At 38.9% G+C, this 23221-nt stretch overlaps 1 protein-coding gene across 17 annotated transcripts in view, besides 1 other annotated feature; it reads left to right on the forward strand.

Moving 5' to 3' along the window:
- Nucleotides 1-23221, forward strand: part of PARD3B (par-3 family cell polarity regulator beta) — a 1074688-nt gene that overhangs the window by 724302 nt on the left and 327165 nt on the right. The gene's annotated exons all lie outside the window — the stretch shown is intronic.
- Nucleotides 6182-6788: an enhancer, noted in NCBI's record as "NANOG-H3K27ac hESC enhancer chr2:206140682-206141288 (GRCh37/hg19 assembly coordinates)". NCBI's record gives its function as "activates a minimal SCP1, AML or CMV promoter by ChIP-STARR-seq in primed H9 embryonic stem cells {active_cell/tissue: H9 hESC(primed)}" and the evidence as "EXISTENCE:reporter gene assay evidence [ECO:0000049][PMID:30033119]".

Below are 23221 nucleotides of genomic sequence, written 5' to 3' on the forward strand. Positions count from 1 at the left end.
AAGCTAAAAGGCAGCTATGTGCTTCTCTCCTACTGGCATGTATCATAGACTCAGTATTTTCTAGAGAATTATCTGGATACTCTCATCAATATATCCTAATTCACCAATATCAGTATAACATGTAATTTTTTCCCTAGAATACAGCAAATAATAACTGAAGATTTTAAGGGACAACTTCAGACAATAATACCTAAATACATTAAAATGACTAAAGGAGTGTAATTGGCTTGTTTGTAACACAAAGGATAAATTCTTCAGGGGATGGAGACCCCCATTCGCCATCATGTGATTATTTCACATTGCATGCATGTATGAAAACATCTCATGTACCCCACAAATATGTATACCTACTATGTACTCAAAGTTAAAAATTTTAAAAAAATTTTAAAAGTAAAGAATATCCTGTCAGTAATAATAATATCTAAATACAGGACTAAATTAATTCATAATACAATTTGTGTTGGTTAGGAATGCTCTAGGCTGCAGATAACAGAAAGCCCTACTATTGGTGGCTGGGCATGGTGGCTCACACCTGTAATCCCAGCACTTTGGGAGGCCGAGGCAGGCGGATCACAAGGTCAGGAGATAGAGACCAACCTGACCAACATGGTGAAACCCTGTCTCTACTAAAAATACAAAAATTAGCCAAGTATCATGTCACGTGTCTGTAATCCCAGCTACTCAGGAGGCTGAGGCAGGAATATCGCTTGAACCCGGGAGGCGGAGGTTGCAGTGAGCCAAGATCATGCCACCACACTCCAGCCTGTGTGACAGAGTGAGACTCCATCTCAAAAAAAAAACAAAAAGAAAGAAAGAAAGAAAGAACACCCTACTATTGGTGACATAAAGAAGTAAAGTTCCTGTTTCTCACCTAGTAAGTAGTATAGAAATGGGCGGCTGCTAGCAGGGAAGAGGAGGGAGATTTCAGTGGATATCAGATTGGTTGTATCTCTGATTCTCTGGGATTCTTCCACTTGACCATCTTGCAGTAGATCTAGGCAAAACAGGAAGGGATAAAGGGAGGGAAAAGAGCGTGCCAGCCTTATTTATCTTACCAGTAAAAGCTAAGGTCTTCCCCCAGACGGCTTTAACACATTTCCACACATAGCTCATTGTCCAGAATTGGCTCATTGCCAATCCTGGCCTCAAAGGCTAGGAAGTAAGAACATACCGGATTTTCTCGCCTCTCCTCCAGAGGCAAAAAAGGAAAAAGGTGTCTGGAAATGGGGGTGGGATGACCAACCAACAGAGACTGCCATGCCACAAAAAATAATACATTCTGCCACTAAAAGGAACTTTACCATTTATTACATTACTCTGTTACCATGAGCTTACCTGAAGTGTACCTTAAATAATCACTTGAGGAGAATTTCTATATATCCAAAAACAAGCAGAGAAGAAAAAAATCATACTCTTAAGGATTTCAGAAGCTAGGCTTTGTTCCAGGTGTGCTTTCTGCAAAGTGTTTTAAATTCAAGCCTTAGCAAAATATCAGATTGCTACCAGGCAAGGACCTTCAGAGTCACTTGATAATATAGGAAACCACAGTGTCATGCATTTGCTACAGTGGATGATGGTGGGACACCCCCATAATCCCCTTATTTGAAGGATTTTATTCACTGATAAAAGTCACTGCTATGTGATCATGATTGATTGCTCAACTTTTAATTATTGACATATATTACAAGTAAATATGCCATACATATACACACACACAGACAAATATACACAAACACACTAGAATTTCTGATCTACATGAGATAACTATTACTCTAAATTGACATAATTTCAGCCCAAAGCAGAAATATTTGCTCTTTTGGAAAGTATGTGAGCTTAGTAAGATGTAGTTGTGAATCTTCATTTTGATACTTAGCAATAACTTTTCAGATCTTCATTATTATTGCCTAGTATTTCCTTCAGGGGCCCCCAAATGTGGATTGGGAATCCAGGTTGGAAACCACTATCCTCAACTTTCCACTGATGCTCCCATATTGCTTTTAAAAGAAAACATATCAGACTTAAAAGTTATTTAAATCTTAAATTAGCTACATCTTAACAGCATAATTAGCCTTTTATACCAAGATTAGTGAAAGATGCTCGGCTGGGTGCGGTGGCTCCTGCCTATAATCCCGGTACTTTGGGAGGCCGAGGCGGGTGGATCACTTGAGGTCAGGAATTTGAGACCAGCCTGGCCAACATGGGGAAACCCCGTCTCTACTAAAAATACAAAAATTAGCCAGGCATGGTAGTGCACACCTGTAGTCCCAGCAACTCAGGAGGCTGAGGCAGGAGAATCGTTTGAACCCGGGAGGCAGAGTTTCCAGTGAGCTGAGATCACACCACTGCACTCCAGCCTGGGCAACAGAGTGAGACTCTGTCTCAAAAAAAAAAAAAAAGAAGATGCTTTATTTTTGTCTTGTTTTCTGAATGGGTGATAACAAGATTGATACCAATAAAATTTTGCTTAATTTGATTTTTCAAGGTAAATATGGCAATATATATTTTACCACTTTGTTATTTATTTTCTTAGTTCTATTTCAGATCACCTGTCCCCTCGTTTCTATAATTATTTTCCCCACAATTATATTTGTATCTGATAGACCGTATTTGCCATAAATAAGAAGCACTAATAGCTGGTGTTAAAATAGGTAAACTTTAGTATATTTTATATAAGGACCATTGAATACTTATGATTACTTGTTTTAACAATTAGGATGTGTTTGACTGCAAATAACAGATAATTGATAACAGTGGCTTAACTAAAAAAAGGGTTTCTTCTTGTCTGGCATCAAGGACAGAGGAGGCAGGCAGGCTAGGGTTGGTACAGTTGTTCAAATAAGTCATCAAATACCAGACTTCTGGCCTCCTGCGTCTCCATCCATACCGTGTAGCTTCCAACCTCATGTTTGTGGGATGGCTGCTGCCCCTCCATGTGCCAGGCAGGAAGAAGGAGGACAGGTGAAGGACAAAAGACATAATTCTGTCCCTTTTATTTGGAAAATAATAGCTGTCCAAAAACTTAACCTCAGATGCTTCATCCGTGTCTTATTATTCAAAACCATTACATGAAAACAAAAAACCGCATGAATATCTGGAGAGATGAATATTTTTAACTAGTCAGGTTGCTACTCCAAAGTCAGGATTTTGTTAAAAAGAAGCTGAAAAACTATTTGGCATAAACAATAAGTAGTTATACATGAGACAGATAAGTTAGCCAAATCAAAATCATCCTCTTTATATCAGTTTTTCCCCTAAATTTAACTTAAAATACCTGAAGTAATTGGAAATAAAGTAGTTTTCCAATGTAGACATTGAAAATTATCTGTAAACTAGTTCAGTGTTCTCTGAACAGCAACTAACACATACATTGCAGAAATTTCATGAATATTAGATTGTGTTGATTGCTTCAATGTTTGTTCTTAATCTAAATTTTCACTTTAACAGTTGCAGCTAACTATTCATATATACAATCAACTCTCAGTTACCAAAGGGTGAATGCCCTGAATTCCCACTATTGTTGGAAAACCTGGCTATCCATTTCTTCTTTGCATTGTCACCCAGTGGAAAGAGTTCGCTCCTTTGTTATACTTACTGTGAATTCCACTCCTTCACCTAACAAAACAATGCCAGAGCAGAAGCACGTGTGAGTTTTTTCTTTATAGTCAGATCAGCTGCTGTGGAGGGCCTTTCCCTCTAATGACCAGCTCTTCCTTCAGCAAAAGTATAAAGCATGCAGGCAGCTATCTAAAGGAGCAACTACTTTGGAGCCAGACTTCTCAATCTTGACCATGAATCCAGGTGAGAAATACTGAGTAAAAATACAAAATGGATTTGCGTAAGAGTTCACTAACTCCTCCTAGATCAGGTCTTCACTTTCTTCTTTGAGATGTCATGAGTTTACAGTATGGAAGACACTCTATTTGTTTATTTCATCAGTCATGTGTTCACTTGGCCAACACCTGTTAAATGCCTACCTTGTGCTGTGTATCATGCTGACTCACAATGTATACAGTCGCACCGTATTCTGCGGCCAAATGGATTAATATTTGTAAACATAGTTAGAAGTTTTACTTTTGTAAGTTATCTATGATCTTGAACTTTTGTTACAAGTCCACCAGGTTGTACAGCTCTGTGGTGGGGGTGAGGGTCATTTATAAAGGCTGCATGTGAATCATATCAGCAGTCCCCCAGGGGTTGCAGAGCACACACCACCATGAGTGTGTGTAATTACTCTGGTTACTTCATTGCACATTTGAGGATTGGCTCCTGTTTTGTGTTATCCATATTATTAGCTCAGCTCATCTAGATCTGGACAAATATAGTTTTTTTAAAAAAAGTCTATTTTATTTTCCCTCATATGTATATATATCTTTATCTTAGATAAATTACTATTGCCTATAATTTTCATATATATTATAACCTCTGAAGAGAATTTAGTACCTATATTCTTTCTACTCTTTATTTCTTTGTGTGAATAGGCAACATGTTTACCTCCCTTCACTATAGCATATTGGTATTAGGATATACTATATACTTGAAACTTAGAAAATTTGCAAGAATAATCAGCTGATTTCATTCCTGATGTATAAAGGAAAATATTCCATTCCTTAAGTGCTTTTAGTAACTTATATTGCAGTGACTTTAATATTACTGAGGAAGAAACCTGTAGTAATCTTATTCACCTCATTGGTAAGTTCTTGCAATATTTATTATTAAACATTAATTATTAAATATGAATAGTATTAAATGTGTGGTACATTGCTTTTTTTAATAACCCCTTTCCTGATATCCCTTAATTTACATGGTATACTTTTACATTGATTTTTTTATAAATCATTTCTACTTACTTTCTATCTGAATATTATCTATCTGAATATTAATATCAATTATCTACCTGAATATTTCTATCTGAATATTAATTCTTCAGTTAGCACCAAATGCAGAATTTATTATGCAACTTTTAAGCCCTCTACAGAAATCATTATATTATTTTATAAAGAATCCATAACATTTTCTCTTCTTGGCTTTTCAGCAAGTTGTCTATAGTATGTATATCATAATATTACCTTGTGTTTTAAACCACTCAGAAAACTGGTAAAAAGCAGAATTGTCATTTTACTAAATATTCTTTCTTCAGCCAATTCCCATGTTTATCATTTCCTTAATTTTTATTGTCCTGTGTTGTAAAGTGGTCTGTGGCTTCAAAGGGCTTTTATTTGCTTTACTTGCTTCTAGGTTTCTAACTGCTTGTGTGCCTTTTGAATACATGTTTAAACATAAGAGAAAAAATGTGAGTAAGGCTCGCTTCTGATTTCAGACTGCTTGAGAGGGAAGTGACTGAAGGGGTAATATATAATCACAAATCAAACCCAAGGCCACTGTTAGGCTTCTTTCGGTGCCCTGTTGAACGGGAAAAATTAAAAAAAAAAAAAGTCTCTCGAGTTTCACAGATTAGCAAAAACTTCCTTGTATTTACCATGCACTGAAAATACAATTAACAGTTTGTATGAGAAGACGAAAGATAATGAAAAGAGAAATTAGTCTCTGAAAAGCACATTCTTATGAGGTCATGAATTACAAGTTCATGTGTCTTATGGCAAAATATTTATCTAAGAGATTCGGCTATAAAAATCAGGAGTCACCACCCTCTTTAGATTACCCAAAAGAGTTGATAATGACTTCATAATAGCATAAAAAATCTGGGGTCTTTATTGTTTTTAATTCTGATTTCTATATTTTATCTATTGAAAATCAAGAGCTGTGGATAAAAAGTTCATTTAGGGCAGGGTGTGGTGGCTCACACCTGTAATCCCATTTGAGAGATCAAGGCAGGTGGATCAGCTGACGTCAGAAGTTCGAGACCAGCCTTACCAACATGGTGAAACCCTGTCTCTACTAACAATACAAAAAATTAGCCGGGCATGGTGGCAGGCACCTGTAATCCCAGCTACTCGGGAGGCTGAGGCAAGAGAATCGCTTGAACCTGGGAGGCGGAGGTTGCAGTGAGCCGAGATTGCACCATTGCACCCCAGCCTGAGCAACAAGAGTGAAACTTTGTCTCAAAAAAAAAAAAAAAAAAAAAAAAAGGTTCAATTAGATGTCCTAATGAGAGAAAAGAAATTTAGCAGGGATCTTTTCATATCAATATCAACAGTTGTTCAAATGCTAATACAGGTTTCTCTTAATGGTTATGAGAATGGTGTTTGCATTAATGGAAAGCAGACACAGTAATCTCAGGTGTGTTCATATTATCATTATTTAGTCTGAGAAATCTATTAAGAGTTAGTCTTAATACAAGTAACTGAAGTTGTTGCCTTCATTAAGGATTTCTGTTCCTGAAATTTGTAATGTACACAGTGAATTAAATATGGCATACATTAGCCGCTGATACAGGAAGACATATTTGAAAGAAACAGGGGAAGTAGAAATGTGGATGGGAAGAGCATTTAGCAGTCTCATCCCTCTGCCATTCCTTCCTTTTGTAGTGAGCCAGCAGGGCGCCTGGTGCTGACAGCCTTGGCAAACAACCTAGAGAGAAAATATGTCTTCTGAAAAGATCACGAAATCTCAAAGACCTCCAGTTCCTTGGTATTTATACAGCATTTGTGGTATTTTCCTCCTTTCTTTTCTTATTTATCCTTAACAGAAGAAACAACAAGTAAATCTGGTGAAAAGCTTCACCAAGAAAATGCTTTCTGAAAGAATTTAAAAGAAGACAAAGGAGTTGCAGGGAGAAGCAGGTTGGCAATGAGGAGCTAGGCGGGGCCTTCGGGAGCGGGAGCAGCACCCACCATCTCACAAATGGCCCTTCTCGGCAACGTTGGGGGATATTTATTCCGGGGAAGTCAGAGAAGCTCCAAAGTGGCTTGCAGCGCTTTATCAGCCGACATTTACACAGAAACTCCTGCCTCTGAGCTTCCTGTGAAATCTATAGGAGGAGAAGCCCAAGGGACTCTGGCTGTTAGAAAATTTGTCATCCTGCTAGAGAGACCTATAGATTGGTGGTTAACCACATGGATATTGCTGTCAGACCTGGGTTTGAGTCCTGGCCCCATAGCTGGCTCTCTGTGTGACCCTTAGTCATGCTGAGCCTCAGCTTATTTAGCTTTAAATGATGGGTAATAATAATATCCACCTCACAGGTGGAAGTGGGGTGAGAGAATTTGTGTGGAACACCTAGCTCCATTTCTGGCACCTAGGACAACCTCCATACCTGCTAGTTGTTATGTTTGAGTGATCTGCATATTTGTAACAACAGGGATACAATTAAACAAGAGTCCATGCTCTTCAGGAATTAAGGAGAGGCAACCTTCTAGGTTACAGTCAGGAAGGTTCCATTTGCCAGACAACGAATAATCCTTGAGTATTCACTCTGCTGGCCGTTGATAGAAAAGTGACCGTGACTTCATCACTGCCTTCAAAAAGCTTAGCAAGGAAGACAGGTATATACACAAACAATGTACAGAATGGGGAGTGTGCTTGGGTTCAAATCCCAGTTTTGTTGTTCATTAGCTGTGTGACCTTGAACAAGATATTTAACCTCTCTGTTCCCAGGTTTTCCTCTATATAAATGACAGTAATAATAGCACTCACATCCAAGAGTTGTGGTGAGGATTAAACTTGTGAATACTGTACAGTATAGCACTTAGAATAATGCTTGGTACTCAATAAATATATATTAGTCATTATTATAATACATTGTGGTAATAGAAATGAGAGATCTGGCAGATTTTCTCTCCTAATTTCTTTTTTGACATAGAAGTGGTTAGGAAAGGCTTCCTGGTAGAAGTGATGTCTAAAAAATGGCCAGTAAGGAGAGGAGAGAACAGAATCTTAGAAAGAGAGACGGCAGATGCAGAGACCCAATGGAGGAGGGAGGGAACTGATGTCTTTGAAGTATGGCAATTTGTTCAAAATGGCTGGAGTTTGGACTGTGGGGGGAAGAACAAAGGAAGGAGAAGAGAGGTGAAGTAAGATGAGTGAGAGAGGCCAGGTCAAGAAGGCCTTTGTAAATCATCCCGAGGAGTTTGGACCTTCTGAAAGCCAAAGGGAGCCCTACAGGAGTAATTTGACCAGACAATCAAAAATCCTGGAAACAGATGCCCAGAGGGAGAAAGTGTATAAATAAAGACAGTATTGAGCTGAGAGTTAAGCCTTGGAGAAAGCCCACATTTGGGGGAAGGAGAAAGAAAGGGCACTGGTACCAGAGACCAAGAAGGAATAAATATATTGTGAGAAGAACCAGGTAGCACCATGCTTGGACGCGGAGGGAGGATAGGATTTCAAGTAGGAAGGGTTAAGCAAAGGTAGCGAGTGCTGAGAAGAGATCAAACAAAATAAGGACTGAAAGAAGTTTATTGGTTCTGGCAATTAGGAGGCAATTGGTGACCTTGGAGCTTTAGGGAAGCCTTGGAGCTAGAAACCATATGGCAGGGGGTACAGAGAGCAAGGAGAAAGTCGACTTCCTGGATGACACCTCTGGGTTCTCCAACTTGGCAATAAAAGAAAGAAAAGGATAGAAGTGAGAGTACTTGCAGGGTTTTTAGGAGAGACTCAAGGGATGATTTCAGTGAATAGATTTTCAAGATTTCGGGGACTAGAGAGAACTGGACGACTGATAGGCTTGGGGGGGAGAGGGGTCCCTCATACATAAGGCTAAGAAGACAGGTTAGATGCAGAGACCATTTTGAGGTTGAGGAAGGAGAAAATTAGGGAATTTTTTTCAAAGGTCTGATAAAGAGAAATACAGAAATGGGAGGCTTCTGTTTTGGAAGGTTTTGAGTTAGCTGATGTGGGAGAAGCTTTAGGGACTTAGAAATAAATAAAACAATTGCTGAGCACTCGAGAGACTTGTGTGCCTCTTCCACGACAAATTAATGAATTTAATTTTTCTACAAGTCTTCCATAATAGAATGAAAAATTGTGCCTACTTAACTCCTTATGAAACTTCAATTTAATTCTAATTCAGAACTTTAAGAAGCCACTAAACTTTATAATAACTGTTGTTCATAGGCTGAGCGCTGTGGCTCACACGTGTAATCCCAGCACTTTGGGAGGCCAAGGCAGCTGGATCACTTGAGATCAGGAGTTCGAGACCAGGTTGACCAACATGGCTAAACCCTGTCTCTACAAAAAAATATAAAAATTAGCTGAGTGTGATGGCGGGCGTCTGTAATCCCAGCTACTCGGGAGGCTGAGGCGAAAGAATTGCTTGAACCCAGGAGGCGGAGCTTGCAGTGAGCCAAGATCGTACCACTTCACCCCAGCCTGGATGACAGAGCAAGAATCTGTCTCAAAAAAAAAAAAAAAAAAAAAAAAAACAGTTGTTCATTGCCCAATCTCTTTAATTATTATACTAAATTTTCCCCCCAAATTTAACCTTACCTTTTAAAAGAATTGCCGAAATAAGTGGTCATGTTGCCAACACATCCTCTCCTTCTACTTCCAATATTAGTAGCATTTCAGAATTCTTTACTTCTTGAAATGTTTCCTCTGGATTTCCCAAAACATTGGGACACTATAGCCTCTATCACCTACACATGCTGGAACTATACCTCACACGTGTTTGTGCTGTTCTCACTGCCTCTGAGGCTAACTAACGCCATTGGAGGACTCGTCCTATTCATGGATTTCATCCATGATTCATTTTCCTCATTATATTTTTACCTATTTTCAGCTTTTTGCCTTGTTAATTATGTACATTTGCCATAATTTCACAATGGCATTATTAAAACATCAGATTGTCCAAAGGGGAAGCTAAATGGATGTCATACCATTTAGAACAGAGTTTCTCCTTCAATCACTGCTTTTATTTATGAAGTTTAGACCTTAGAATCGCCTCTGTGCAATGTGAGAGTCCTCCCCTAAAACTCTGCAAAGCTTCTTCTGAGTCACGTCATGGCATGCAGGAGTCTCCAAGCGGGAAAGGTTGCTTTTGATGGTTCAGCCAGTTCCATTTCAGTGAAGGGACATCACTTCCCTAAAATGAACCCCCTCTTGGTAAACGTTCTCCATTTTCTAGCAGAGTCAAACCAAACCAGAGAGAGGCACGTTCTGGGAAGTAAGTTCTCCAGTGTTTCTAACCATAAAGCTGGGTTTCTGAAATCCAAGATTACTCCCAGCAGGGAGCCTAAATACAGCCTGAAGCTACAAAAAATAAGTATCCCTATTTTACCTGTGATGTCTATAAATTGTGACCACTTATTTTCATTCCAGAGTCATACTTTGTGCTGAACCATGAAAAGCAAAGCTACATTTAAAATTTTAAACCATAAGCTATTAGAGAAGGGTAAAAGAGTCTCTTTGTGTTAGGATTTCTTCTGTCTAAAGGTAGGAATAGCAGTTGCCATTCTCTGACATAAATAGCTCTCATATAATACCTTTCAGGGAAAAAAATTGCTTTAGGACAAAATAACAGTCACTACTCCTTTTTCCCGTGCATGAACTTTGGAACAGAAAAATAACATTAACAGGTTATTAAACTGTTTGTCACCAAAGAAAAGTAGATGGTATTTTTGTGCCTTGGATAATGTTAAGTGAAGAAAAAAATCATCAAAGGGATCATCTGTACTTGCCCTGCTTTCAAAATTACTTTTTCTCTTTTCAATGGAATTCACGACTGTTCTTGGTTTTCAGACTTGTGACTTTGTTCATTAGAGCAAATGGTTTAATTTTTATTCCAAACTCTAGATTAAGTTTCAGAGTTCAGCCTGGGAGAAAGGAACTATTGAAAACCTTTTCTGTTTCCTTCTCTTTTTTCTTAAGGGAGGGCTTTGGTTCTCAGAGAATATCAAATTCCGATGTCAGTTTTGTAAATAAGTATCTGTTGTCTCCCCAGATCAAGCTGTGTTTGTCTTATTTGTACATTTATAGTAAAGTAATCTACAAGTGGTTCCTTGATAAAGTTAACACTTAGTTAATTACCCAGAGCCTTGACATGTCCTATAATTGCCACTTGGCTAACAAACATTTGATACTTGTCTTGGGTAGAATTTGTTGAGGCCTAAAGAAGTAAGCTCTTGATGGATGGGGAACAAACCAAATAAATACAGTATTTTATGTTCTTTTAATTCAGGGCCAAGTGGATTTGGATGAAGTGTTTATTTAGTTTGCTGGCTGTTTCAAGATGCTGTGGCGTATTGATTCCTTTTATTACTAGCAGCCGTTTAACCTGACCTCTTCCAGATCCAGTATTTTAAAAGCCATAAATTTTAACTTTACTTATGAGCAAAGGCTGAAACACTGTGAAAGCCTTTTTATTAGTCGAGCTCTGCCATTTTCGATGCTCTGGTGTCACCCATGGCAACAATATTTAGGGCTTCTTACATTAGAGTGGCTGCTGGGCTGCTGGGGAGGGGCATAGGCAGCCATAAAATGAAGCCGTAAACATTTCAAGGGTATAAGATTCCATGACTGTGATAGCAGACAGGTGCAAGAAAGAAGGGGCAGGTCTAAAGACAAAAGGGTTGGGGATGATCATGTTAAATAAACATCTACTTTAGCATCTCAGGTACTGAAAAGAATTTGAAAATTAGAAACAGAATACCAGGTAATCATAGAGCAAGGTGGAGCCAGGGACCAACTCGAGTGACCCATCTTGTAGGTCCCACACTGCCTAAGTCATTTTCTGGTCTTCATATTGCACACAAAAGTTCTCTGAAAACGAAGTTGAAAGAAAGAGACCTTGTTCCAGTGAACAGTTAGCAAACTAGGGAGATGCAGTATTTCTGTCCCAAAGTCCCAGGCACACCCTTAATCTCTGCAATTGTAACAAACCAGGAAATCCACTTTTTTTCCTAAGTTGGGAAAATACATGCCTCACATCATAGACTGATTTGTACAAAATATAGTAAAAACTTTCCAGAATGTCAGTACTTTACTTTTCTAAGACACTATATAACCTGCACTCGGAAGGCAGGCAACTGTTTTGTATCAATCAGCAAATCAAAGCCATTTCATCTTCAAATAGCCCAGTGATGAAACTCCTGGGCAGGTTGTCTACATTAAAAGTACCTGTTTTTCCATAAAAAAGAGGAAGAAAAAGAAATTTTATACATGAGTTTACCCCTGAAATGGATGAGTAGATGAGAATGCCTTGTAGTTGAAGAGGAAGACAAAAAGAAACTAATTCTACTTGTGTGTCTTCCTGGTTTTAACTTACACACATCAGTAGCTTTTGTTCACTTTGTTGAAAATTTCCCATTCGTTTTCTAATTATCAAAAATGTTTTTTTAAACAAATAATTTTTTTCAACACTAGCCCTCTTTTTATTTGATCATGTGGAAAAACTCTTAATACAGCATTAGGGAGGTTATATAAGCAAAGAATGATCATTTCACCATAGGAGAAAAATCCAAGATATAAAAGGATATTGAAAGAATTTAAACAAAAACATCAACAGAAGAGAGATACTGAATGAAGAGATGTTCCCCCCTTTCTTCACTTTATATTTCTTTGCAAAGAAATTTAATCCAAAATAATATGTGATTGGACTTGGATTATTATTTCATCTTCCTGGTCTCTTTCTTTTCATTCTTGATAACAGTGTACTTGAGCATCCTTATACTACCTATTGCCAGAAACTGCCCTAGCCTTTTAAGAAGCCAGGTACTCATTAATTCAAGTGATGTTTACAAGTTGGCTCTTAATATTTGTCTCCTCTTCAGGTATTCCAGTGGCTTAAATTAATATATATATATATATTTGTATGTGTGTATATATATATTTATGTGTATATATATATATGTACACACACACATATATATTTAAATTTCTTGCTGTTAAATTGTTTCCCCAATCATGTTTCTTAGATTGCTGAAATAGAAGAAACTTTCTTAAGAATTTGAGAAAGTATAAATCAGGGCTGTAACATCAGGATTTTATCTTCTTTCAGTTTTATAAAAATGGCCCAATCTCAATTAGATATAGGTCCCACACTGCCTAAGTCATTGTCTGGTCTTCATATTGCACAGAAAAGTTCTCTGAAAAGGAAGTTGGAGGAAAGAGACCTTGTTCCAGTGAAAAATTAGCAAACTGGGGAGATGCAGTATTCCAGAGAACAAAAAGAAGGTTTGGGTGTTATAGTAAAAGTTCCCACCCAGGTTCCCAATCAGGTCTGTTTATGCAAATGAGAGATTCAAACTTGCTTAGTTCTGACTGATCAATACAGCTGAGCCCTGGTTGGTTGATACAGCAAAATCCTGATTGGCTGAGGCAGGTGAGCTATGATTGATTAGTTCAGGCAAATTCTGAAAGTTCCAGAGTTAAAAAGGTGTGGGGTTTTGGGGAACCCAGAGTAAGAAAGTGTATAAACTCTATTCAGCAAATGGCTGCTCCGCTCTATCTTAAATATAGGCCCAATTAGCCACTCAGAATTCATCTTGAAGGATTGGTTCTTTCAGATTCACATTTGTTCACAATATAAAAACTAAACCCTTCAGAGTGTGAGAATCCTTACACTATTCCTATGGCTAGAGACTTCTGTCCTAGCAATTCAAGAAGCCAAACTTTTTTTGTTTGTTTGTTTTTGAGACAGTCTCACTGTGTCTCCCAGGCTGGAGTGCAGTGGTGCAAACATGGCTCAACTGCAGCCTCAATCTCCTGGGCTCAAGGGTTCCTCCTGCCTCAGCCTCCTGAGTAGCTGGGACCACAGGCGTGCATAACCATGCCTGGCTAATTTGTTTTTATTATTTTGTATAGACAGAGTCTCACTTTATTGCCCAGGCTCAAACATTCTTATGAATTCAAGTCCCTAAATGCAATTCAATTCACTAAACAGCAGCATAATGTTTAGTCTTTTCTTTTTCTGTGACCTTATTTGAATCAAAATGGACCTGAACACTTTCATTACCCAAACTATGGTCTGATCAGTATTCTATATCACACTCCTCCTATTGAATAACAGTATGTAGAATTTGAAAATTGTTAAAAATACTTATAGCAAAATATACAAAAACAAAATTTAACCTCTTAATCATTTTTAAGTGTACAGTTCAGTAGTGTTGAATACATTCACATTGTTGTGCAGCCAGCTTTTACTGTACCAGACATGCTAATAAACTCCCCTCTTCCCTGAAGTAAGCCAGCGGCCTTTCCACCCAGAGCAGCTGGTGAATTTGATGATCTTGGGCAGAATGCTCCCCTCTACCCCCACAGGAGGGAAAGCAGCTCTTACCTTGGGGAAGTTACTCAGATTTCTAGAAAAACTTTCTGTAAGGTTGGCTGTCATGGTGTGAATTAAAAGGTTATGTCAGAGGTTAAACTATGCAATTAAATCAAGAAAGCAGATTATTCTAGTAGCTGACATTAACGTTTGAAAAGAGACAGGATTAGCTGTACTTAGTCACATATAAACTGCACAAAGCGAACAAAGGGGAAAAAAATTATTTCACCAAGCTTCCCTTGAAAGAAAATCGTTCCATCTTGCACCTCTAATTTTTCAGCTTAATTCTGTTACTTCATGAGGTTCATTATCCTTTTCCAGATTTGCACACGGTGACTGATGCTCTGTGACGGGTTGTTTTTGTTTTTCTGCTTTAAAAAATATTCCCTCCCTCCCTAAATAATTATCTGCAAATTAACCTTTTCTCTTACTGGAATATTTGTTAGAATAGAATATAGAAAATAGAAATGTGTAAGCAAGACTGTTTAGACAGGAGATAAATTCTTTGAGGCCACAAGGGTATCATTTATTAAATGACTGCTGCAGTCCTCTAAATGGGCCCCTTTTGACCTGAAAGAGTTAATGCTCTATTGAAAGTGGCTGGGTTGTCCCCAGCCTTACTCCCTTGGAAGGCTCTGACCCATTAATGGCGGTAATAATAATAATAGAAAACAATCCTGCTTTGCTTCCATTACTCTGAAACTGTTAATGGTATCCTAATGTTTTTTATTCTTTTAGTGTAACTGAAAACTGACATTCTGCTCAGCTAAAATTTCAAATGTAGTATTTTTTTTTCATTACCATTTTTACATGCCATGCAGGATGCTGAGTGAGGAATAAGGCAGAGGCTTGTAATTGGTCTTTTAAATCATCATAAACATTTATTTTTCCCCCCATGGCTATATCTAGTGCCAATAACTCAGTCATCAAATGATGGGAAAAACTGTTTAATGATGCATCACAAGCTCCTTCCTAAATTTTTACCCAGAACAAGGCAGGGAATATAAAAATAAGTCACATTGCTCAAAAGTTGATTTTAAAATAAGCACAAAACAGTTTTTTTTTTTTTTTGTGGGAGTATTAGCAGTGAACCAAGTGTTCCTTTCTTTTTTTGATATAAACCCTTTTTAGAAAAGCCTTGTGTTTTTATATTTTTATTGTAAGTAATAATGAAAAGTAAAATAGGACTCTGCAATGTGTGGGGCAGAACTGTGGCTTCTGTTTTGGGAGGCTGACGTTTGTAAAAGGCAGGTAATGATATTACCCCTCTGTGGGACTGTCAAGACAAGGCAAAGCATTTGGCACAGAGACTGTACCATGGGAAGTTCTAAATAAAGATTAGCTATCATTATTATTATTATTGTTGTTGTTGTTGTTCTGCCAGAGCAAAACATCCATCCCAGTTTAGGGTACTGAGGCAATACCCACTCAGAGCAATTGAATCCTAGCTAGGGCATGGTATAGATATAAGTCCCTGCCTTGCCTATTGTCCATGTGCATTAGAGTGACTATGTTTGGATCCAGGGTCACTGACTTCAGAGGCCCCTTATTGCCAGTGGGTGTCATAAACCTGTTTATCTGGCCACTAAGGTCCTTGTTGGTCTTTTCCCATTCTCTCTGTTCAACCTCATTCCTATACTCCCAGGCCCCATGAGCACTCTGCAGTGGACACATGGCTGGGCTTGCTGCCCCTTGGCAGGCCGATGTTCTCCGCTGTCGCCCACTCTGTCTCCAGGACCATCTCTGTTTGGTGCTGCTCATATTCCAAGGATCTATTTCAGCCTAGAGTCATCATTTTCTCCTCTGACTTCTGCCACTCCCTCTGTATCTTGCCACATCCCACCTTGTTTGGGATGCTTTTGAGTTTTGCATTTTGACCTTCATGTAGATTGCTTGTTCCTTGAGAGCAGGTGTTCACAAAGAGATACCCATATTGTCTTTTGATGAGCTGAGTCCACATCCTGCAGATGTGGAGGAAAAGATCCTCCTTTTTAATTAGTAGCAACATATTACGTGTATATAGAGTACACTGCAGCTTTGTGAATTTTTTGTACATACATAATTTCATCTTATAATAACAAATGATGGGAAAAACTATTTAATGATGCATCACAAGCTCCTTCCTAAATTTTTACCCAGAACAAGGCAGGGAATATAAAAATATATCACATTGCTCAAAAGTTGATTTTAAAATAAGAACAAAACAGTTTTTTTTTCTTTTTTGGGGGAGTATTAGCAGTGAACCAAGTGAAACTTATGAGACTGGCATCCCTGTTAACTTAGACAAGTTACTTTATCTTTGCCTCAATTTTCTCAACTATAAAATGAGGATAATATTAGTGTATACCTCATATAATTACATGAGTTAATAGATATATATAAGAATGTGCCTGGTACAGAGATAGCTGCTGCTATTTTTATCATCATCATTATCATCATCAATATGATTTTTCCATTATCCCACTTTTACTGATGTAGAAACTGAAGCCCAGATGAGATTAAATAACTTCCTTAGATTCTAAACCTTTCAATTCCAAGTCCCCACTGAACATGCCTCCTATATCAAATCTTGTTGTTAAGCACCCTAGACTGCTTTTAGTCCATCATTTCCTTAGAGTCAATTTACAGAAAAGTTTCTAATTCACAGTTTGTCTGGAAATTTCTGTGAAAGGGAAACTTAAAACAAACACAGTGATAAAACACAAACCCTTCTCCAGAAATAGATACCCTCTTCCTGGGAGACAGGTCTCTCTCCTCCTAAATGAGAGGCCTCTGTTGAGTAGTCATGAGAATACCTATGGGAATACCTAGCTCTTAAAAGTGATATCAGATTTCCTCCAATCTCTCTAAAATCCAGACAACATATTTAATTAATGTCATTGTAGATAGGTTGTTTGAACCCCTGGTCAACCATAGCAAGAATTGATTTTACCTCTCTTTTGAAAGCCATTCTATTTTTCTAAATTGTCTAACCATTGGTAGTATGTTTCTACTTATTACTAATGATCTGAAGAATGGTCCTCTCTTCACAAAGGAGTCAGGGGTCAAGGTGAGCAAACCAATGTAATAAAACTCTTCTTGATGTAGAAGATTTGTCACTTGTAAAATCCATGCAGCAACAGACTGGAACATGCCTGTCTATAAGCTGGTGTCAGACACACTTCTCACTGGTGTGGTTAGCTCTGTACTCACCATTCCTTCACCAGCAGTCTGCCCTGTTACTCAAGTGTCCGACCTGAGCAGAAACAACTGGTGGTAACATGGATTGTTATGTGGATGAGAGATTGGAGAATAGAATATGAAGTCAAGACTGTGAGTTACAATGGAAAGAAAACAATTTCAAACTAGTTTTGCAAAGATAATTTCTTGACTCCTGGCAACTAAAATGTTCAGAGGAACATCCACAAAGAAATGTAGCTGCACCCAGGGTCTCCATGTCAGCAGTACTCTCTCGTGCAGTTCTGGTTCCTCTCTTCAGACTTGATTCTTACAGAAAAGCAAGATGGCTGCCAGAAGCTCCAGGCTTAGATTCTCCCAGTAACCCCAGTAACAAAGACTGCTCACTCTACCAGGCTTAGTTCTAGTTAGCCCTGTGTGTGTCAGTAGCTGTCCCAGAGCTCACCAGGGGGAAGAAATGCACTGATTAGTCATGTCTGGGTCGTAGGCACACTGAATGAGAGTTGAGGAGGCATAGTACACCAAGGAAAGCCAGGATGCTCATTTTAGATAGAATAATGGGTGCCGGCTAGGAAAAAGAATGGATGTCAGCACTCGGGGGAGAAAAGAGAGACAGTTTAGGATAAGTGGAGAGTTGTGACACTCTTGCTGTTTCTCTGTGCGCTTCTCTGAGGTAGAGTAAAGCAAGTGTTTCCATGTACCCTGACATCTCAGTACAACCCAGCAAGAATTTCAGTACAAGAAAGACTGATCATAGAGTTCCCTGAGGGAAGGTTATTAATGGAAGTATCACCTTCTTGTAACCTTGTTTCCCGCTGGCAAAGATTCCTCAGGCTGAGTTACTGGGAAACTCCAGTATGCTGTCAGATTTCACAACAACATTAAGTGGTACTTCCTTTCCATATTTGCCACCTCATTTATTTTGTGTGTCCCCATGTTATTAGTTTTACTGCCCATTAATCATTATATATTACCAAATATAGTAAAGCGTGCTTACGAGGAGATAGCAAAGGGTCCGGCCATGACAGTCACAATGAAGCCATGCCAGGAGGAAGCCTAGGGGTAGCAGGCAGTGCCCCCTGTCCCGTCCACCCAGACACATAACCCTGAGCACCTCCTGGCTCCCAAGTGCATTAAGATATGTTCCTGCACCCTATCCCTCCTCGTCAGAGAAAAACCTGGGGAAAATAGTTCTGTTCATTTTGAGGACAGATGACTAACCATGCTAAAAATGTATATGAAGAAATTAGAAGAAATTTGAAATTGTAAAAAGAAAGGAAGAGCAAGAGATTTTATTAGCAATGAGTTCCATTGCTGCAAAATATACCACTCTCTTTCCCTTTAATTTATTCTATGTGTGTCTTCCATATTATTTTTTCTCTGAATACCAATATCATCAAGCGTTTACTCTGGTAAAAAAACTTCATGGCTTTCTATTGTCCCCTAATTTGGGCCTTGCCTTCTTAGCCAGATTTCAAAGCCCTTCATGCCTTTACTTTATCCTTTCTACTCATGTTTATTTCCCACCAATCTCTACCACATTGTTTTTTGTTACTAGTCACTCCATCCTCCCGGTGTCCCCACCCCCCAGGAGACGTGTTTGGACTTTTCCTCATGCCTTTTCCTCTAAGTGGTGTGCCTGTCCACCTCCTACTTCTCTTACCTATATATCATCCATCTTCAAGGATATGACCCACATCATGCATAAAGTCTTACTCAGTGACTTAAAGTCACACTGTGCTTTCTTTTCTCTGACTTCTGCAAGCCTAAAATACTCCAGCCCTTAACTGTGCTCTATGTCAGCATTCTTGGTACGTGGTTTGCAGAGATACCTGCTGGCCAGTGATCCCAAAAGTCCATGACCTTGTCTGATTTGTAATTTTGTTGATGGTGTCATGGGTTAGTCTGATGGAGAAGAGTGAAAGAAACTAACTAGTTCTTTACTTGCTGTCCCTGGCATGGTTATTCTCAGGAAATTGTTTTAGCATGTTACTTCTTCATGAAAAATATCTTTGCAAGAAATAAACAAGTTTATTTGGGCTACTAATAGAAGTAAAGGAGATAGAAGATGATTTGAAAAGTGATAAGAAATCTTAGACCAAAAAAAGTAGAAGTTTTCAATAAAGAGTGAAAATTCAGAGCTAGTAATGACCCTGTCCTACAATGTATGAATAGGGAAGCAGAAATCCTCTTGCCATTCTGTGGGTTATAGAGAATCCTCCTAATGGGTGTAAATTTTGTTCACCAAAAAAAAAATATGATGCTAAGCGGTGACATGTACTGAATATTTGCTGTTGCCAGGTATCATGTTCAAAGTTCTGTATCAGATAATCTTCCAACTACCCCATAAATGAGGTTCTATCATTATCTCTGTTTTACAGATAAGGAAACTGAGGCACTGAGAGGTAAGAGCCTCACCTAGAGTAACACAAATAGTATATGGGTGGAGCTGGGGCATAAAACTGCTATGGTTGAGTGTGTCCCCAACAAGTTCATGTGCTGGAAACACAGCTCCCAGTGCAGCAGCGTGGAGATAGGTGGGACCTTTGGGAGATGACTGAGTCATGAGGCCTCTGCCACCATTAACCCATTCATAAATTAGTGGATTAAACCATTCATGGATTGATGGATTAATGGGTTATTGAGGGAGTGAGTTAGTAATCATGAGAATGGTGTATTATAAAAGCTAGTTTGGCCATCTGTCATGAGCCCCCTCAACGTGTGATGCCCTGTGCTGCCTTGGGACTCTGCAGAGAGTCCCCACCAGCAAGAAGGCCCTTACCAGATGTGGCCCCTAAACCTTGGCCTCCCCAGTCTCTAGAACTAAAAGAAATCAATTTCTTTTCTTTATACATTACCCATTCTCAGGTATTCAGTTATAGCAACAAAAAACGGACTAAGAGAACCCAAGATGTCTAATGTCAGATTGTGCTTGTAATAGCAATTGCTTTAAAGAGTAAATTATGAGTGAATGCCAGAGATGCAATTAATTAGCTGAGTAAACAGGTAACATGGCTACCATTGGAAATATGAATCCAGATAAATCCAGGTGTATGTACGAACAATTTATTTTCTAAAATTTGGGGACTTGTATTCCCCTGAGATGGGTCCTTCTTGAGCTTTAAGGATCTCCTATACATTCTCTGGTGTTATTAGTTCATGTGTGTTTATCTTTGCTCTACACATAGACTAGAATGTCTTTGACTAAGCTAGGTGTTTAATCTTTTATTTCTGAGGCAGCAAAGAAAATGGGAGGAATTTCAGCTCAAGGTTTGTCAGACCAGGAAAGCCTCATATAGCATCTGAGTAGCCTTGCCAAGTCAATAGGATGACATTTCCTTGTATGCACTCTCAGGGAACTTAAAATAAGAATTGAAAGAAGGTTGAGTGTTTGTTCTGAAATTTACATGAGATGTAGGACTGAGGCACTGCCTCTCAGGAATGTGAAGGGAAATCACAAAATACCTTTGGAAATCCCCTCAATTCACCATAGAGAATACAAAATTATTGTTTCAAAGAGATAGCCATTTCATCAGTCAAACACCGATGAAATAGTTGGCTTGTGTTTGAAGATAGTGACACATTGCTATAGACAAAATGTTTGTTTCCCCCAAAAAATCATACATTGAAATCCTATACCACAATATGATGGTATTAGTAGATAGGGCCTTTGAGAAATTATTAGGTCGTGATGCTGGAACCCTCTTGAATAGGTTTAGTGCTCTTCTAAAAGAGGCCCCAGAAAGCTCTTCCACTTGAGAATGTGGCAAGAAGATGGCCATCTGTGAACCAGGAAGTAGGTCCTCAACAGACACTGAATCTGCCTGTGCCTTGATCTTGCACTTCCCAGCCTCCAGAACAGTGGAGAAATACATTTCTGTTGTTTGTAAGCCAGTTTATGAAATTTCATTATAGCTGCCCAAATGGACTAAGACAAAAATTGGTACCAAGAAGTAAAATGACACTATAACAAATACCTAAAAATATGGAAACAGCTTTGAAACTGGGTAATGGGTGGAGGCTGAAAGAGTTTTTAAGTGCATGCTTAAAAAAGCCCACATTGTCATGACTGAACTTTTAAAAGGTGATTCTGGCAAGGGCTCCAAAGCAAAACAAAAACAAACAAAAAAAGCAACAGCAACGACAAAAAACACCAACACCACCAACACCACCATCACAAGAGGAGAGCTGTAAAGAAAGCTTCGATCTCTGAGTCTTCTTAGATGATACCCACATAATCTTGAATAGAACGTTGGTAGAAATATGGATGGTAAAGGCCATTCTTATGAGGTCTCAGATGGAAATGAGGAACATGTTATTCACGGAAACTGGAGAAAAGACCATCCTCGATATAAAGTAGCAAAGAACTTTGCTGAAGTGTGTTGTTCTGGTGTATTATGGAAGGTAGAACTTGTAAGTGATGAAATTGGGTATTTAGCTGAAGCTATTTGTAAGCAAATTTCTCTGATTTCTCTAAAATCCAGATAGCGTATTTAATTAATGTAATTGTAGATAGTTTGTTTGAACCCATAGGCACAGCCTGGCTTTTTCTGACTGCTTATAGTAAAATTCAAGATGAGAAAAATGACCTAAAGATGGAATTGTCCATCAAAAAGGAAGCAGAGCTTAAAGACTTAGGTAATTCTCAGCCTATCCATATTGAAAAGTCTGAAAAAGCCTGTTTGGGAAAGAATACTAAGGATGTGGTCAAACAACTGTTTGATAAGGAGATTAGTATGGATCAGCCATCTCAGCAGAAGCCAGGAGCTATTCTCCAGGACAATGGAAGAATGACTCTGAAGGCAATTCAGTGATCATCAGGACAATCCTTCCTACCAACAGGCCCAGAGTGCAAGGGCCCTGGAGACAGAGTGGTGTCAAAGGAGGGGCTGCTGGTGCCCTCAGGACCTCAGTGCATGCTGCATAGGGCAGCCAAACACCACTGGGTTCTATTCCTTGTGCTGTAGTGTCAAATTGCTTGGACACCCCAGGTAGAGCTCCAGTGGGACCCAGTGTAGCATGGGTCACAGAGGCTATCCCTCCCAAGGGCACAGGCAGCAACTTTGGTGGCATCCACACAATGCCATCTCTGCTGGTGCAGAGAGCTGTAGTAGAGCCCTCATGAATGGGATTAGTTTCCTTATAAAAAAAAGACTCACAGAGAGTTCCCTTGACCCTTCCACCATGTGAGGACACAATGAGAACACAGGCATCCATGGACCAGGAAGCAGGCCCTCACCAGACACCAAATCTGTCAGCACCTTGATCTTGAACTTCCCAGCCTCCAGAACTGCGAGAAAATTCCATTGTTGATAAGCCACCCAGTCTATGGTATTTTTGTTATAGCAGACCACATTAACTCAGGCACACATGAAAGCTATAAATCTTGAAACACAGGAATCATACTCAGGGTGGTGAGATGCTCAGCATGAGAGAGGCAAGCAAAGACCCGCAGAGAACAACTCATTTCTCCAAACTCCTGTTCCCTCCCAGACACACAGTCCCTCAAGGGCACACTGTCATTGAGATGGAAGGTAAGTGAAATTGCTCTCATTAAGTTATTTTATCCTGCCCATCCTCCCACCTTTTTTTCTAGTTTTCTCTCATCATGAACATACAGTTGAATTTGGGTAAGATCAATTGTGTGTGATTAGACTTCACTTTGTACAGGAAAAAAATTTAGTGAACTGTAAAGCCACAGAAAATGTTAGTTATAGTCACATTTATCTTCCATTCCTCTTAGGACCAAGCACAGTTATGAGCCACAAAAAATACCCAGTAAATAATTGTCAACAGCTGACTTGATTTTGGCTTGACATTTTAACATTAGATTGAAACCTTGCTTAAAGTGTATTTATAAAGAAATTGTTATTCATATGAACA

The sequence above is a fragment of the Homo sapiens genome, chromosome 2 (genome assembly GCF_000001405.40).
Source record: "Homo sapiens chromosome 2, GRCh38.p14 Primary Assembly".
NCBI classification, from domain to species: Eukaryota; Metazoa; Chordata; class Mammalia; order Primates; family Hominidae; genus Homo; species Homo sapiens.